General features: G+C 53.2%; 1 protein-coding gene across 1 annotated transcript, besides 1 other annotated feature; it reads right to left on the minus strand.

The window, feature by feature from the left end:
• Positions 1 to 7,178: 7,178 nt before the first annotated feature.
• CTU1 (cytosolic thiouridylase subunit 1) lies at positions 7,179 to 17,982 on the minus strand. Its single transcript, NM_145232.4, has 3 exons — positions 17,920 to 17,982; positions 13,635 to 14,163; positions 7,179 to 8,712 (listed from the first exon to the last, which is right to left on the minus strand). The coding sequence occupies exons 2-3, from the start codon at positions 14,140 to 14,142 to the stop codon at positions 8,174 to 8,176; spliced, it is 1,047 nt and encodes a 348-aa protein (NP_660275.2). The 5' UTR covers positions 14,143 to 14,163; positions 17,920 to 17,982; the 3' UTR covers positions 7,179 to 8,173.
• Positions 17,948 to 18,277: an enhancer, noted in NCBI's record as "active region_15008". NCBI's record gives its function as "activates an Ori minimal core promoter by ATAC-STARR-seq in GM12878 lymphoblastoid cells {active_cell/tissue: GM12878}" and the evidence as "EXISTENCE:reporter gene assay evidence [ECO:0000049][PMID:35858748]".

Here is an 18,682-nt window from a genome sequence, read left to right on the forward strand (position 1 = left end):
GCCAGTGCACCCGGCCAAAAGGAATCATATTATATTTGTCCTCTTGTGACCGGCTTATTTCACTCAACCTAAAGTTCTCAGGGGGTGGAGACAAGGGGTGTTGGTGGGGAGGCTGCCTGAGGAGGGTCAGACGTCTTTGAGGTGGAAGAACAGGAATGGCGCAGACAACCATGCACAGAGGCAGGGGAAGCTGTGGTCAGGGAGTGGGAATGTGGGATTTTGTGGTTTCAGAGGTGGAGCTCTTCCAGATAGAGATAGAGGCTGGGTGTGACTGTGGGAACGACGGCGGGGGAGGTGGTCTCTGGCCACGTGGAGGTAGTGGGATGCAGAAGCTGGGGTGTCCTATCTTTGGAAGCTGGGGGGTCCTCTCTCCTGAAGCTCCCCACTCCATGTGTCAGCCAGTACCCGTCTCTCTGTCCACTTATCATAGCAATGGGGCAGGTCACCAAGGGCTTCACATACATCCTCTCACATTTAACCCTCGTGAAAGCCCTGTGGGGTGAGGGACTCTTATTACTACCACGTTATAGATGAGGAAACCAGGCCTTAGACAAGTAACTTGGGCAAGTGGCACAGCCAGGCCTCGAACCCAGATCATTTGGCTGTTAAACACCATGTCACCCTGTCTGCAAATCTGTTTCCATGTCAGCGAGGGTGGGGAGTTCTGTTTGCCTTGTTCCCCGATGGGTCCCCAGCTCCTAGAACAGCCTGGCATGAGTGTGCACACAGTGAATTGTCGTGGGATGAGCAGACAGACCCCCGTCTCTGTCTTCCCTTGGGTCCTGATAGGCTCTTGGTTGGCAACTTTCCTAGTGTCTACCGTGTGCCATGTCTCCCTTAATTCTCCCACCAGCCCCATGAGACACGATGACACTCATTTTACAGATGACGAAATGGAGAGAAATGAGGTCAGTTGTCTAACGTGGCATGGAAGGGCTGGGATTTGAACCCGAGCCAGCCTGACTTGATGCCTCTCTGCTTCTGATCTCATGTGTGTCATTGATGATCCAAACTCTCTCCGGGTAATCTCTCAGACCTTTCCGAGCCAGCACTGAAAACTGCTTTGTGCCAGGCGGCCTCTGTGTGCAAACCTGGGGGCCCCTGATGCTCGGCTGATGGACAGTGAACATCCCTGCCCCCCATCCCACCTCTATTACCTCCCATTTATTTCTTTTTTTTTTTTTTTTTCTTTTGAGACGGAGTCTCGCTCTGTCACCCAGCCTGGAGTGCAGTGGCACGATCTCCACTCACTGCAAGCTCCGCCTCCCGGGTTCACGCCATTCTCCTGCCTCAGCCCCCCGACTAGCTGGGACTACAGGCGCCCGCCACCACGCCCGGCTAATTTTTTTGTATTTTTAGTAGAGACGGGGTTTCACCGTGTTAGCCAGGATGGTCTCGATCTCCTGACCTCGTGATCCGCCCGCCTCGGCCTCCCAAAGTGCTGGGATTACAGGCGTGAGCCACCGTGCCCGGCCCCTCCCATTTATTTCTGTTTAAGCTCCACGGTGTACCCCAACCTTCCCCCTGTGTCTCCTCTAAGTTAGTATCCTCTCCCCAGGTGCTTGGGTCAAAGACGCTTGGGAGCGTCTCTGATTCCTCCCTCGCTCTCACCTCCCATTTTGGCAGTTCCTGTCACTTAGCTCCAAAGTACACAGTAAAGAATCCACCCACTTGTCTCCTCTCAGTCGCCCTCTTCCAAGTCACCCTTATCTCCCACCTACACAGGTGCAAGAGCATCCAAACTGGTCTCGCTGCTTCCAGCCTCGACCCCCAACCCCTCCCTCCCTCGCCCTGCTAAGTCCATTCTCTACTCAGCAGCCAACGTCTTCTTAAAACAATATCATGTTAAAACCTGCTTAAAACCCATCTGTGAGTGCCCACTGCAATTATAATAAAACGCAAATGCCTCCAAGGCACTTGGTGTCTGGCTTCTGTCCATCCTTCCAACCTCATCACTGCATTGTGTACTGTGCCTCTGCCCCCTGGAACTTCTTCCATCTTCTCAACATTGGGAGGCGCCTTCCCAACTTAGAGGCTTGGCCTTTGCTGTTCCCTCTGCCTGGGACATGCTTCCCACCACTCTGCCTGTGATCTTCCTTCAGATTTCAGCTTAAAGGTCATCTCCTGACCACCTTCTCCAGAGCTGGCATTCCCTTCCAGTTTCCATCTCAGCTTCTTGTGGGTTTCCTTCCTACACCTTATCTCAATCTGTAATTGCTCTATCGGTTTGCTTCCTTGTTTATTATTATTGCTGGTTTTCTTCCTCTCTATGGTGTTTATTACTGTCGGATGTCTCTCATGTTTTATTTATTTACTTTCTTACTCTTACGTCTACTCTGTCTCCCACGACTTGAATGGCAACCCTGACAGTGCAGGGATTTTCACTGTCTTTATCTGCCTCTATGCCCTGGCACATAGGAGGTGTTCAGTAAACCTTTGTGGAAGGAAGAGGCATCTCTTATTAGAACTGAGGCTTCACGAGGGCAGGGACCTTGTCTATCTTGTTGCTGAATCCCTGTTGCCACGTCTGCCACCCGGCACGTGGCAGGGGCTCTATAACAGGCTGAAGGAGGAAGATCATCTCAGAGCCTGTTTAGAATCTCTGCTTTTCTCCAGAATCTCTGCACTCAATGTCTCCACCTCCTCAGACCTGACAGCGATCTCCAATGACCCAGCCCCAGGAGAGCACACAGGTGGAAGATGGGGAAGCCGGTCTTTCTGAGACTGGGCTCCAAATCCCTGCAGTGGGGAGAATGCTTCTGACCTGATGGGATGAGACGCTGGCGTTTCGCCCCACTGCCACCTTTAGTTGTGTTTATGTAGAGGCTGTGTTTGCCAAGGCCACAGGCCACAGCAAAAGTCCCTTTGTCCCCATGAAGACTGGGGCCTCCTGTTTAGCTAAAGGAGCGTCTGTGTTCACTTGGGCCTCCAGCCTCAGCAGCTCCCTGCCCCTGCCCTCCATATTTACCAAGCCTTCCTCCTCCAGCAAAAGAATTTCCCGGGTTTACCATGGCCACCGGCATATGTGGCGAACATCTTTTTTGTTTGTTTTTGTTCAGTCTGCCTGGAAGAAATGTCTCTTGGATTTACACTGCCTTTGAGAACACGTAGGGCTCTTCGCCCTTAGGAAACACACCCTCAGCATTGAATAGGGTTCCCAGCTCTTGGTGAGGACTTCTTAAATGGCCCTCACATCCATTCTCACCATCCTGACACCCTCGCCACTGCCCCAGTTTTGGCTACCAAATCCATTCCCAGACCTTTGTCCCAGCCCTCTCCCTGGCCTCCTGGCTGAGTCTTCCCTACTCCAGTCCTTCCTGGACACGGCCCCAGAGGGATCTTTCTGACACCCAGAGCCGGCCCTGTCTGCTCTCGCCCTCCCTAAGTGCCCCATCCCGGCCAGAAGAATTCCAGTGCTTTATGGAGGGCTGGCCACCCCCTCCACCATCCTGCACAGGGAGGAGCGGCAAAGCCTCGCAGGGACTTGGGGCTCCCATGCCTGCAGGCCTCTGTGCCTGCCATTCTCTCTGCCTTGCACATTTGTCCCCATCTCGCCCTTTCCTGTGCTCATTCTTACTCATCTCCAGCTCCCGGTTTACACATTACCTCTTTCAGGAAGCGTTCCATGACGCACCGCACTGAGTTAGAAGCCCCACCTCAGGCCTCCCCTGTGTCCCTCCTAAGCCCCACGGTGGCACATATCCCTCCGGATCTTGACTTGCCAGTATCCCTGCCCGCCTCCGCTGGCAGACAGGGAGCCCATTGAGGGCAGGGACTGGGGCTGACTCAGCTGCATTGCCCCACCGCCCTGCGCAGGGCCCGCCAGCTCCAAGGAGGCGTCAGGAAATGTTTGCTGCATGAATAAAGGGGTGATCAGTATCCCTCCTTTACTCAAATATCCTCCATGGCTTCTGCAGTGCTTAGAAACAAAGCCAAGCCAAAGTCGCTTCTCCCTCTCACCTCTCTCCTCCACCTGCCCCCTCTCCTTTTTCCCTCAATCTCAGAGTCTGCACTTGCTGTTTCCTGCCAGGAACACTTTCCCAGAGACCCTCCACCCCTGTGCTCTCTGCCTCACCCTGCACCTTTCCCTGAATATCTCCTCCTTGAAGCCTCCCCGTCCCTCCTACTTAAATAGAAGCGATTATCACGATCCAACATACCATATATTTGACTTATTTTTCTCGTTTTTTTTTTTTTTTTTTTGTATCTCCCTTGAGGGCATGGTTTTGTTCTGTTCACTGCTGTCACAAATCACCTGCTCAAAAAGTATTTGTTGAGTGGATGACACAGGGGTCTTGAGGTCAAGGAGTGTCTGGTGTTTATACGGGGCCTTAAGATCTCTGCCAACCTGTGTCTCTCACCCTTAAGGACTGGCTCAGAGACCAGCGGGCAGGTGGGCAGAGACAGCTGAGCTCCCAGTCGGGGCTGGGGAGGGGGAGACCTGGCTTTGATGTCAATGACCACCGGATGCACAGGCGAGGTCACAGCGACCCCTTGTGGCCAGAGACGAAAAGAGCACCTCCCCCCCGCCCCGCTTTTTTTTTTTTTTTTCTTTTTTTTTTTTGAAACGGAGCCTGGCTCTGTCGCCCAGGCTGGAGTGCAGTGGCCAGATCTCGAGATCTTGGCTCACTGCAACCTCTGCCTCCAGGGTTCAAGCCTCAGCCTCCTGGGTAGCTGGGATTACAGGCACCTGCCACCCCGCCTGGCTAATTTTTGTATTTTTCGTAGAGGCAGGGTTCCATCTCAAATTCCTGATCTCAAGTGATCTGCCTGCCTCAGCCTCCCAAAGTGCTGGGATTTCAGGCGTGAGCCACCACACCTAGCACCCCCAGCTCTTCAGAGACCCCCATGAGGAAGGCCGCAAGCCCAGGCTAAGAGGGACGGCGAGCACTCACTAAATGCCAGGCGCTCTTCTAAGCACTGATATGTATTTTTAACAATAACCACAGGACGGAAGTACCATTCCTCCCCACACTGTACAGCCAAAGAACCTGCTCAAGGTCACACAGCATTCCCGGCAGAGCTTGGTTCTGAACTCAGGCAGTCTGGGTCTAGGAAGCACATTGCAAACCTGCGCGGTCCAGTGGAGTGCCCACAGGTCCCATGTGGCAGCCGAACTGTGGGGAGTCTGGATTGAGATGGGCCGAAAGTGTAACATACACACCGAATTTTGAAAACTCTATATGAAAAAACATGTATAAAACATCTCGCTTAAGTTTTAACAAACTGATTACATATTAAAATTATAATATTTTGTATAAGTGGGTCAAATAAATTTATTAAAATATCACTTGTGTCCCTTCTCTAAAAATACGGCTATGAAAATATTCTAAATTATACATACGGTTTGCATTTTCGATTGGAGAGTGCCTTAAACCACAAAAGAAATCTAATCCACTGCCCACCCCACCCCATGCACAGGGACAAACTCCAATGAACAGAAGGGAAAAGGTCCCTTACCCAAAGCCACACAGTAAATCACTGGCACGTCAGCAATAGGAACCTAGGTCCCCTGGCTTCCAGCAGGTAGCCCAGCAAAAGTGTCCAGAGCTCCAGCTCCTTTGCTGATTTGCTGCAGTGTGGCCCTGGGCAACTTACTTCACCTCTCTGGGCTGTAATTTCATCCTTTATGAAATTGGTGCTGAAGGAACCAACCCAAATGCCCATCAATCAACGAGTGGATAAAGAAACTGTGGTGTATACGTATACGATGGACTACTACTCGGCCATAAAAAGGAATGAATTAACAGCATTTGCAATGACCTGGATGAGATTGGAGACTATTATTTTAAGTGAAATAACTCAGGAATGGAAAACCGAACATCCTATGTTCTCACTGATATGTGGGAGCTAAGCTATGAGGGTGCAAAGGCATAAGAATGATACTATGGACTTTGGGGACTTGGGGGGAAGAGTGGGAGGGGAACGAGGGAAAAGAGACAACAAATACAGTGCAGTGTATACTGCTCAGGTGATGGGTGCACCAGGATCTCACAAATCACCACTAAATAACTTATTCATGTAACCAAATACCACCTGTACCCCAACAACTTATGGAAAAATAAAATATTAAAAAATAAAAAATAAACTTTTAGATTCTTCTACATACCAGTTAAAAAAAATTGGTGCTGAAAACCCATTCCTTATGTCACTGAGCTAATGAGGAAGGCAGGCACACTTGGCACTAGGACTGGCACACAAGCGTCATCCTATACAATTGATCTTGATCATCTTGCACCCCCTACAGCTCATTCTCCTCACAGCAGCTGGAGTAACTTTTAGAAAATGGAAATTGGACCCACTGTTGGGACCAAAGCCCTCCAAAGACCTACCATCACTCTTAAAATACAAGTCTTTCTTGCCAACAGAAGACCATGCACGGCCCATCCCTGCTTAGTGGCTCGTTTCATCTCTTGCTATTCTCCTCCTCACCCACTCTGTTCCCGCCACACTGGACTTGCTGTTCCTTGCACTTGCAAGCTGATTCCCACCCCTCCAGGCTTTTGCACCAGCAGTTCCCTCCACCAGGAAAGCTCTTCCCCCAAATGGCTCCATGCTTTGTTCTTTTGCTTCTGTAGGTCTGTGCATAACGTCACTTCCTCCAAGGCCCTTCCTTCCCTGACCCCTGTGGAAACAAGCTCTTCCTGTCTCTCTCTCTCATCATTTTTTTTTTAATTTGTAGCATTCATCACTACCTGACATTACATATTGATGTGCTTGCTGTCCGTTTCTCCCAGACTGAACTTCATGAGGGCAGAGACTTGTCTCCTGTTCACTGCCATGTTCCTAGAACCCAGAGGAGTGCCTGATGCAAAGGAGATGCTCATACACGTTTTGAGTGAATCATCTAGTCCTTGGCCTCCAGCCCAAGTTTGGGTGGCCACACAGTGAAGACAGGACTGAGAAGCAGGGGTTTGGGAGAATACTAAGCCCTGGGTTGGGTGATGGGAGGAGAGAATTGAGAAGCCTTCTAGGAGGACCCTGGAGGATCTGAGCAGGGTGATGGGAAGAAGGGGCATTTCTGACAAGAAGCCAGCCCAGCAAGTCCTGGAGGTGGGACTGAGAGCACCATCTCCCCGGGAAGTTTGAGATTCTCACAACCTCCCCGTACCTGTACAGGACAGCAACCCTGAGACCCGGCGCCCCCTGGTGGTCAGACAGTAACATGAACGACCAAGTCCAAGTGGTCACCATTTATTGAGCACCTCAACTTCTCTGATCTTCCATTTCCTCCCAGTGGTGCCTTGATGCGGGGGGGATGGGGGGGCGGGGGGGAAGGGGGCTGATTATATTTTCATAGGAGAAATGGGACATGAAAGAGGCTAAGTCACCGACAGGCTCACACAACCCTGCCTCCAGAGTCCAAGGTTTGGGGAACGCATCCAACCCCTCCTCACCCGTGACAGAGATACCAGGAGAGATTCGAGAGGGGATGGGTGGGGGAGGACCAATTCCACGACCTGTGATATTCGAGAGCTTTGGAGGGAGCCCTCGGTGTGACCCCTTCCGACTGGGTGTCTTAGGGCCATTTACCACTTCAGGCTACAGCCAGTGAGACCGTGGTGGAGACGAAATGAGGGTGCAGTGCGTGCTACACACGAAGCGCTGGAAGGGAGGCATCGTGACGGCGGCTGTGAATGGCGTGTGTCCATCAAGTCACGCTCCGCTTACCCCACTGCGGGCAAACAGGAAACATCAGGAATCTGATGCTCAAGGAGGGTCAGGACCATGCTGAGCGCACCCAGAACCAGCAGAGGCCCTGGGCAGGAGGTCCCCAACCAATCCCCACTCGCTCAAGAATCACACGGTGTTCAGCCCCCTCCTCCCTGAGACCCAGGAGTCCACGACCCCAGGCCCTCCTTCCTCAGCCACAGATGCCTGGGGTCCCCAGTCCCACTTCTTCTAGGCTTAGTCCTGGCCCTCTCCTCTCTCAGACCTAGGATGGTCCCCCAGCCCCCTCCTCCCTCAGAGCCTGAAGCCCAGTTCGAGACCCTTCTTCCCTGAGACCTCGAAGTCTGGGGTCCCAGCTTCTTCAGGGTTTCAGGTGAATGGGCCCCCGTCTCCTTCCCAACCCCACATGGAAGGCCAGGTAAGGTAACGGGTTTATTCACAGTGTCATTTACAGGCAGCCCCCACCCCGCGGCATCAGATCCCGGCGGGAGGCCCGAAGTCGCTAGAAGGTGGGGACGGCCTTGGAGGCGGGGGGCCGGGCCGGATCCCCGGGCGTCCCCGGCGTCGCCTCCTCGTCCAGACCCCGGCGGCCCTTGCCGATGGCCAGGCGGGGCCGGCCGCGGTTCAGGCCGTCCAGGAGCGCGCAGGCCTGGCAGAGCGCGCGGCTGGCCAGCGCCCCACAGCGGGAGCAGGCGCCGGGGCGCGGGGGCCGCGCGGCCGGGGCCAGCGCCAGGCGCTCGGCCGAGTGCACGAGGTCCAGCACCGCGGACGGCCGCGCCGCCTCCAGGCGCTTGAGCAGGTCCCGGGCGTGGCCGCGGAAGGCCTCGGGCGCGTAGACGCACTCCTCGGAGAAGTAGTCGAGGCGGCGGAAGTGCGCGTACAGCACCACCTCCTTCTGCGAGGCGAACTGCAGCGGGCGGCAGCGCGGCAGGGCGCCCCCCTCGCCGGGAGAGCCCAGGCCCCCGCCCCGGGCCAGCCGCCCCGCGTCGCCCCGTAGGAAGTTCATGAGCACGGTCTCCGCCATGTCGTCGGCGTTGTGACCTGGTGGGGAGAGAAGGGAGCGGGTGAGGTGGGGCGCGGAGGGCGCTGCTGGCCAGGGAGCCCCCCGGGGAACCAAGGGTCCACCAGGACCCAGAGAGAGACTGGGAGGAGAGACCCACGGAGACCCAGGGCACAGTGGGGCCGCCAGGACCCAGAGAGAGACGGCGACGGGGAGAGCAAGCCATGGAGACAGACCCCCAAACATGGTGTGACAGCCAGGATCCAGAGACAGGGAGGGGGAGAGAGAGCCATGGAGACCCCTAGGGCACTGTGGGCAACCAGGACGCAGAGAGAGACGGGGAGGGCAAGAGCGAGCCATGGAGACCCTCCGGGAACCGTGAAGCAGCCAGGTGCAGGCTGCAGGTGGACACAACAAAAAATCAAAGAGAAACATAAGCTCCCCTGGCGCAACTTGGGCGTGCCTTCATGTACCACCCGCCTACTGCATAGCGGACCTTATGCTAGTTGCCCTTTCATATAGGGAGTAAAAGTGCATTATGCTGCTAATAACCTTATCAGCCTCAGTTAAAACCGTAATTCAAACTGTACACAAAAATCAGAAGGCATTTAAGGCATTTAACCGAGATTCTCAGGAGAGCTGGAGGGGTAGGCAGGCTGCTGTCTCCCCCACCGCCTAGGGAATCCATGGCCTAATTCTGGGAACCTGTTAATATGTTTGGTTGTAGGACAAAGGGGAATTAAGGTTGCAAGTTGAATTGGGGCTGCTAATCAGCTGACTTTACAATAGGGACAGAATGGTGCGTTATCCAGGTGCGCTCAAGGTAATCACAAAGACCCTTAGAGGGGAGGAGGGAGGCAGAAAAGGGAGAGATAGGGCCATGGAGACCTTTGAACATAGTGGGCAGCCAGGACCCAGAGAGAGATGGGGAGGGGAAGCCTGAGCCATGGAGCCCCTCTGGCACCATAGGACAGCCAGGACCCAGAGACCGGGAGAGGGAGATGGGGCCATGGAGCCCCCTGGGCACTGTGGTGCAGCTAGGTGGTGGCTGGAGGTGGACACAGCAGGAATTGAGAGGGGAACACACACAAGCTCCCTGGGGAACTTGGGGATACCTCATTTGCCACCCGCCTACTGCATATGGGGGGTGTGAGGGCAGAGGCAAGGTTAGAGTGATGCAAACGGTGTAGGACTCAAACTGCCATCCTTGGCTTTGAAAATGGAGGAAGAGCCGGGCACAGTGGCTCATGCCTGTAATCCCAGCACTTTGGGAGGCTAAGGTGGGAGAATCACCTGAGGCCACGAGTTTGAGACCAGCCTGGCCAACATGGCAAAACCCCCATCTCTACTAAAAATACAAAAATTAGCAGGTCATGGTGGCAGGCACCTGTAACCCCAGCTGAGGCATGAGAATCTCTTGAACCTGGGAGGGAGAGGTTGCAGTGAGCCGAGATCACTCCACTGCACTCCAGCCTGGGCTCCACAGCAAGACTCTGTCTCAAAAGAAAAAAAAGAAAAGAAAATGGAGGAAGGGACCATCAGCCAGGAATGTGGGCAGCCTCCGGAAGCTGGAAAAGGCAAGGAAATGGACCCCCTTGCCCCAGAGCCTCCAGGAGAAAGGCAGCACTCTTGACACTTTGATTTTAGCCCGGTGAGACTTCCCAGACTTCTATCTACAGAACTACAAGATAATAAATCTGTGTTGTTTAAAGCTGTGAAATTTGAAGTAATTTGTTACAGCAGCCAGAGAAAACAACTGGTTCTTGACACAGAGCCTCTGACAACCCAGACTGTAGTTTTTTTATGGTTTTTTTTTTTCATTTTGTTTTATTGTGCGTGTGTGTGTGTGTGTGTGTGTGTGTTTGAGACAGGGTCTCACTTTAGTGCCCAGGCTGGAGGACAGTGGCACGATCTCAGCTCACTGCAACCTCTGTCTCCAGGGCTTAAGTGATCCCCCTGCCTCAGCCTCCAGAGTAGCTGGGACCACAGGTGTGTGCCACCATGCCCAGCTAATTTTTGTATTTCTATACAGACGCAGTTTCTCCATGTTGGCCAGGCTGGTCTTGAACTCCTCTGAGCTCAAGTGATCCACCTGCCTCGGCCTCCCAAAGCGGCTGGGATTACTAGCATGTGTCACCACCCCTGTAATCACTGCAGTGTTTTTGTGTTATCTTTGTTTAGAAGTAACAGTGAGAAATATTTACACACTGGTCACCATGAAATTGAAGCTAAACTTGTTCTGTGTCTTGTCAAGTTATACTTGAGTCTATATCAGTGGTTCTCAATCTGGGATGAGTCTGCCCTCCTTCCCTCCCCCAGAGACATTTGGCAATGGCTGGAGACATTTCTGTGTGTCAGGTTGGGGGTGGGGCACTACTATTAAATAGCATCTAGTGGGTAGAGGCCAGGGATACTGCTAAAATCCTATAACACAGAGGACAGCTCCCTAAAAACAAACTATCTGGCCCCAAATATCAATAGGGCTGAAGTTGAGAGGCCCTGGTCTATATGGTAAAAAACCTCCAAGAACTTGGCTCTAATTGTGTTTGTAGTAATGGTTACCTCCCAAAGACCTGCCAAGCCCTGTGACCTTGAGATTGGGCATGTTTGCTACTGCAAACGACATCTCGTTGAATGTTTATTGACTTAAAGTTGTAAACCACATTAATTAGGGGAGACTGGATTTGCTCCACACCTTGTCATTACAAACCCACTTAAGAGCTCCCAGTTTTGTAATAATTATTACAACAATTATTATACTACGCCTTTGAAAATGGAGTGTATAAACAAAGGGTAGAAATCACCTTGCAAGTCAGGGATTTTTCTGGAAGGCTTCATTACTTTTGGAAGTACAATTAATAAGTGATTCTATCAAATTAACTTTAAAATCCGAGGCAGCCTCTCATTCTTTTTTTTTCTCCCCCAGCTGGAATCTTGCTCTGTCACCCAGGCTGGAGTGCAGTGGCGTGATCTCGACTCACTGCAACCTCCGCCTCCCGGGTTCAAGCAATTCTCCTGCCTCAGCCTCCCGTGTAGCTGGGATTACAGCCGCCCACCACCACACTCAGCTAATTTTTGTATTCTTAGTAGAGACGGGGTTTCACCATGTTGGCCAGGCTGGCCTCGAACGTTTGACCTTGTGATTCCGCCTGCCTCAGCCTCCCAAAGTGCTGGGATTACAGGTGTGAGCCACTGTGCCCGGCCGAAGCCTTTCATTCTTTCCATACACTGTCTGCTCTTGTATGGTAAGGATTATTCTTCCCATTTTCAATCACAGAGATCTAGGGATTTCTCCAAAGTTACTCAGTAAGGAAAGGGCCACATCAGTGAATGAAGCTCAGTAAGCCTTCCCCAGAGCCAGTGGCCCTACCTAGCATGGTGGCACATGACAGCCTCAGAACTACTTTTGCCTTCATATGCTTTCAGTGTGCTGATTCTCTCCAACCATCATCTCTCACCTCCATCACCGCAGCTGGCTTCCCACTGACTGGTCTCCTCGGCTTTGTCCCTGTCCCTCCAACCCAGGTTCCTCGCCATGGCCTGGGTGAGCTTTTCAAAGTGAAACTCTCTTCATGTCACTTTTACTGGTTCCGCCACAGCCTACAGGGTAAGGCCTGACCTCTTCCACCTCTCCAGCCTCCCCTGCCCTTGCTTTCTGGGTTCCAGCCACACTGGACTTCTTGGGGCAGCCCAAATTGGCTTTTCACAGGCCAATAACCTCTCCCTAATTCTTACCCGCTTTACCTCTTCACTGTGAGCCTTCAGATTTCAAAACCGTTCCTTGACCCCACTCCCTCCACGTCATAGGGTTCTCTGTGTGTACACATAGTCCATAACATGTCCATACATGGTCAATAACATGTATAATGTTTATAATTTTGTACCTGATAACCATGCAAAGGTAGGAACTTGTGCGTAACTGTATTCTCAGCCCTAGCCTGACAATGATGATGATAATAGCATGTATAAAATGTGTAATCTATATTATATCATACGGGTTATGTAACATAACTATAATATAGATAACGTTATACTTCTACTGACTCATCTAATTGTCATAACAAGTTTATGAGCTGGGTACCATTCATAGTCCTGTTTTAGGGATGGGGTGAAACAGAAGTACAGAGTGGTTAAGAACTTTGGTATGGCCACAGTTGGGATCCGGCATATAGCAGAAACTTAGCATCTGTTTGTTGAAGGAATGGATGAAAAAGACAGAATAAAAAAGTTATCTTCCAGCACTTTGGGAGGCCGAGGTGGGTGGATCACGAGGTCAGGAGATCGAGATCATCCTGGCTAACATGGTGAAACCCCGTCTCTACTAAAAATACAAAAAATTAGCTGGGCGTGGTGGCAGGCACCTGTAGCCCCGGCTACTCGGGAGGCTGAGCCAGGAGAATGGCGTGAATCCGGGAGGCAGAGGTTGCAGTAAGCCGAGATCGCACCACTGCACTCCAGCCTGGGAGACAGAGCGAGACTCTGTCTCAAAAAAAAAAAAAAAAAAAAAGTTATCAAAGAGGAGAGGCCAACCAAGAAAAGGAATTAAGAGATGGAGATGCTTTTTAGAGAAAGAGCTGGATTCTGAAAGGTGGACCATAAGAGATCAAGCATGTTAGAAACATTTAAAAATAAGTAAAGGACCAGAGATCTCCAGAGATTTTCACCTCCCACCCCTTTGGCAATCTGTGGAGACCAAGACGGTGGCCAAGACCCAAAAACCTTTGTGATCACTGCCTGGCCCCTCTGTCTCCCCAGCGTCTTGAACCTTTAAAGGGCCCCAGCCCCAAACTGCAGCATGCGCCCTTCCGCACCTCCGTACAGGGATCCTCCCATTAAGCCACCAGGGTCTCCTCGCCGCCTTCTGGAGCATGCGCCTGAATCCCCTTTCAGGTCCCGCCTCCTCGCCTGTGCATTCGCCCCACTGCCTCGGAGAGTGCCGCTCTGCGGCCCGTACTACGCTCACCTGTCACGATGTGCGTGGCTCCCACGCGGCGCGCCCCTTCCTCCAGCGCCCGGCGCCGCAGCACTCCACAGAAGGTGCAGCAGGAGCGGCTGCGGCCGGAGCCGGCTGTGCTGCGGGCCACGGCGTCCATCGTCCAGCCCCCAAAGAGGTCTTCGTAGGCCACGACCGTGAGCGGCAGCTCCCAGCGCGCCGCCTGGCGCCGCACGGCCGCCAACGCCGCGTCCCGGTAGCCACCGATGCCCTCATCGACGGCCACGAGCTGCAGTGAGATGCCCAGGCGCGGCGCCAGCGCGCGCAGCACGTGCGCCAGCACCGTGGAGTCCTTGCCGCCCGAGGCGCCCACGGCCACCACCGCGCCGGGCGGCAGCAGGCGGCCGGCGAGCACCGTGTGCAGCACCTCGGCCTCGAAGGCGGCGCAGAAGCAGGCACCGCACAGCGCTTGGCCCGAGAGCGGACGGCGGAGGGCGGCGCGTGCAGCATGGCAGGAGGCGCACGGCGGGGCGGGCATTGCGGGAGGGGTCGGCTTCTCCTAGACAGGGAGAGAGAGGAGGTGGGTTACATATGGATTCCGGATTGCAGGGTCCCTGCCATCGGGGAGATTGTCTGGATTGCACCTCTGCCCGGAATAGACCAGGGAGACGTGTGCGCGAGTGGAGTAGCTTCTTCTAGCGCTGGGGATAGGATGGTTATAAATAGGTCCGGTGTAAGGAAGCCACTGCCTTAGGGAAGGCTTCTTGGATTGCACCCATTATGCAAGAAGAAGAGAAGTAGCTTAAGAAGCTGGCTTCATGGGTAAAGAGAGGGAGCGACAAGCAGGTTATACCCAGGATTAGGTTGTGTCCTCTCCAGAGGGATGGGGGTGTATATTAAGGCCCATTTGTCACAACCTCCAGGGAGGCCACCCTTGTTACAGTCCTGATCAGGACAAGGTAGGTATCATTGGCCTGGGCCACCAGGGCTGTTAAAAGCCCTTGGGAGGTGAGGGGTTTTTGACTCTAAGGGCAGAGGGAGGCCAGGGGACTGAAGCTCTGTGCAGCGGGAGGTGGAAAACAGGAAAGGCCAACTGATTGCACTTTGTAGGGTGGGATACGGTCTCCAGGAATGGGTTCTGATTGCATCCTATGAAAGGCAGGGTGATCACCTTCTCCAGGGAACACAGGCAGCCTGGATCACACCTCTCAGGAGACCAGCTGGGGTTGCACACATTTTGAGGGTGAGAAAATGGGTGGGCCTCCAAGATTGAACTCAACCCTGCTCTGGTATCAGAATGCCCCACAAGCTTCTGTGCTCTCACCAAGACATGGATCGGCCCATCTTTGACCTTCATCTGTTATCTTTCCTACTTCATTCTTCCCCACCCAGCCTAGACTCCAACCCTCCAGTCAAATCCTGGTCCTGCCTGCCTGGTGAACCCATAAAAACTCCCCAGGCTCAGTTCTCCTCCCCAAGCCACCATCACCTCCAGCCTGGACTACTGTAGTCACCTCCTTGCCATTCAGAGCAGGTCACGCTGCTTCTAGGATTTACCACAATGTGTGGAATTATTTTATGTGACTATATATTTACCATCTCTAACTTCTATGAGGGCAGAGACCAGTACCACTCAGATGTCTAATAGGCATCTCAAAACCCAAATTCCTGATTCTTCTAACCCAGCGTGCTTCTCCTGGAGTACAGGGCAGCTCCATCCTTCTAGCTGCTCAGGCCAGGAGCTTTGGGGTCCAGGACCCTGGACTGCTCTTTCTCTCACTGCACTTGTCATGCTCCCAGTGGGTGGCACCAAACTGCAATGCCAAGTCCGGACCTTTTCAAACTCCAGGTACCTAAATGAAATTTAGCAAATCCTGTTTGAATGTAGTTTCAAAACAGCCAAACACTTAGGACCGTCTCCACGGCAGCACCCTAGTCTGGTCTGTCTCTCTCCTGGACGGCTGCATGGGGCTCCCCACAGGTCTCCTGCTCCCGCCTTGCCTCCTCTACAAACACTCCTTCACATAACAGCCAGTGGGATCATGCCCTGAATCTTCTCAGCATCCTCCCCTGGATCCCATCTCACTTTAGTATAATAACTGCTAATGGCCGATGAGGCCCTACATGTGTGGCTCCTTGTTTCTCCAACCTCCTCTCCTTCAGCCTTGATGTCGTTTACTCTGACACCTGAGGAATACTCCTGCTCCAGATGTTTGCACTGGCTCTCCCCTCTGCCCTGAGTACTCTTCCTGCCACTGAGCCCAAGAAGCAGCCCTTAGGACTCATCTGCAGTGACCGTCGGGAACATCTGTCACAGGTGAGCAGCAACTCTTGGAATCTTTCTTCCCCCGACTTTTGACTCACTCCTTCTGTGCTCCTGGATTTCCTGCTCAATTCTCTTTTGGGGACGCCTCTTCATGTCCTCAGGTCCTGCCTAGCACCCATCTCTTTCCATTTTTTAAAGATTTTTAATTTAATTTAATTTAATTTTTTGAGATGGAGTCTGGCTCTGTTACCCAGGTGGAATGCAGTGGCACAATCTCGGCTCACTGTAACCTCTGCCTCCCAGGGTCAAGCGTTTCTCCTGCCTTAGCCACCCGAGTAACTGGGACTACAGGCGTGTACCACCATGCCTGGCTAATTTTTTTTTTTTTTTTTGTATTTTTAGTAGAGATGCGGTTTCACCATGTTGGCCAGGCTGGTCTTGAACTCCTGACCTCAAGTGATCCGCCCGCCTCGGCCTCCCAAAGTGCTGGGATTACAGGCGTAAGCCACTGTGCCCAGCTTCTTTCCATTCTTATGAGCGCCTCTGAATCATGATATTCAGATGTCCCTCCTGGCTGGTCCTCCACATGGCTGGGGCACCTTAAAGATGTTCAGACCCTAAGCGCCCAGACAACCTATTTCTTCCTCGAAAGGCAGAAACCTGTTCTTGCCCATCTGTTCCCTCTCTTCTGAGAGCAGCCACCACCTTTCATCCAGCCCATCTGCAGGACAGGACGTAACGTCACCCTGGACTCATCTCTCCTCACCCCCTAAATCTACAGTCACCCAGTCCTGGGGGGTCCACGTCCTGAGGAAGGGAGACGCTCGCAGGGGACAAGGCTGCACAAGTTAGCAGAGCCTCATAGGCCATGATGTGGAATTTTAGGTTTATTCAGGAGGAGATGGGAGCCTTGGGAGGTTTTTGAACAGTAAAGTGGTATGATCTGGCATGTTTTAAAAGGATTCCTAGACTGGTCAACATAGCGAGACCCCATCTCTAAAAAAATAAATAAATAAATTAGCTGCACCTGGTGGCACAGGCCTGTAGTACCAGCTACTCAGGAAGCCAAGGCAGGAGGATCACTTGAGCCCAGGAGGTCAAGGCTGCAGTGAGCCATGATCGCACCAGTGCACTCCAGCGTGGGTGATAGAGTGAGACCTTGTCTCAAATAAAAAAAGTGGGATTCGTTTGGCTGCTGTGTGGGGAGGACTGTTGGTTGTCAGGGACAAGGACAGAAGGCTGGAGGTCAGCACACTAGACAGGAGTGCTGGCAGTAGAGGTGGGAAGAAGTGAAATTTTGGATCTATTTTGAAGGTGGAGCCCACAGGACTTGTATAAGACTGATTGGAGTGGGGACTGGGGCAACGACGAGAGAAAGTGATGAAGGGTAACTTTGAGGTTCTGGCCTGAGCATTGGAGGGACGGTGGGGCCATTTTGTGAGGTGAGAAGACCAGGAATTCCATTTGGCCACGTCAGGTTTGACATGCATGTTAAGCGTCTTCCCTCAAAGACTTTATGGACCCTCGTCACTGAGTCGAGCGCCTCCACCAGGGCCCTCAGAGCTGCCCTGATCCTGACTAGCTGTCACTGGTGACAGGTCTGTCTCTCTGCTTCAAGGCAGGGACAGGGTTGGTCTGGTGCCCTCGCTCCCGCCGCCCTGCGCAGAGTCGGTGCTCAGTAAGTATCTGTAGGATGAGGGAATAATAAGTGCTCCCAGAAGAGAGGCCGCGGACCCCAGGGATGCCTCTGGATTGCAGCCTTGTCAAAAGGACAGATAATGTGTGGCATGGGGGCGGGGACAGGCAGATAGTAACATAGGGGCGGGGGCAAGCAGATGGTCTTATCCTGTCTTGGGGAAGGGAGTGGCCCGGTAAGAGACAGGCCGGACCGCAGCGTTCAAAGTGGGAATCCTGGCTACAAGGCCTCAGGGACACGGGCGCTGGGAAATCACAGAGGCCTTACGCTCGAAGAGACCCTCAACCCTCCCACGGCACCGCAACAAAGAGCCGGAGTCCACATGCCGACCCACCGCAGGAGGAAATACTCACCCGGGCAGAACTCAGTGCTGGGATGCCCACACTGCCCACCACGCGGAAGCCTGGCCCGGAAGTGACTCCGAGACTACCACTCCCATAAGGTCTTGGGGCTTTCTTGCCTAGAACTCCCAGAAGCCCATGCGACACTTCCGCTGGATGCGCCTACGGCTCCGGGGTCCCGCTTGGCCTACAACTCCCAGAAACACTTGCATTGCTCTTTCTGCCGCTCCCAAAATACACTGCTCCCCCTCCCCCCGCGTTTACTTTCTGCGCCTGCGCGCGGCCGCAGGGAGCGGCGGAGCTGCGTGTACTGTTGTCATGGCAGCGCGCTGTCACCCGGCAGGTTGCTGGATGGGCGAAGTAGTTGTATTCTGATTAACTGATTTTGTGGGATTATTATAGGATTTTAAGGGGATTACAGGGCCTATGATTTCTGCCCTTTGAGGCGGGGTTGCGGGTGGGAATTGAAGGTGGAACTGCAGGGGTTGGTCGCTAGTGTAAAAGGCGCAGATAGCGCATGCGTAGAGCAGACTTCGAGGATTGGAGTGGAACTCCGCGCGCACGCGGGGGCTGTCGTGATGCGCGTGCTGGAGACCCAGACTCTAAACAGAAGGATCCAAAGACCCTTCTCACCTAACCCAGGAGCCCAGAGGCTCAGAGACTCAGACCCTTGAGACTAAGGGGGTTAAAAACGCAGACCCCTGGCACCAAAGCACCTGAGAGAACCAGTAGACCTGGAGACAACCGTCTGCACCCTAGACACAGGGATCTGGAG

This window comes from Homo sapiens, chromosome 19 (assembly GCF_000001405.40).
Source record: "Homo sapiens chromosome 19, GRCh38.p14 Primary Assembly".
NCBI lineage: Eukaryota > Metazoa > Chordata > Mammalia > Primates > Hominidae > Homo > Homo sapiens.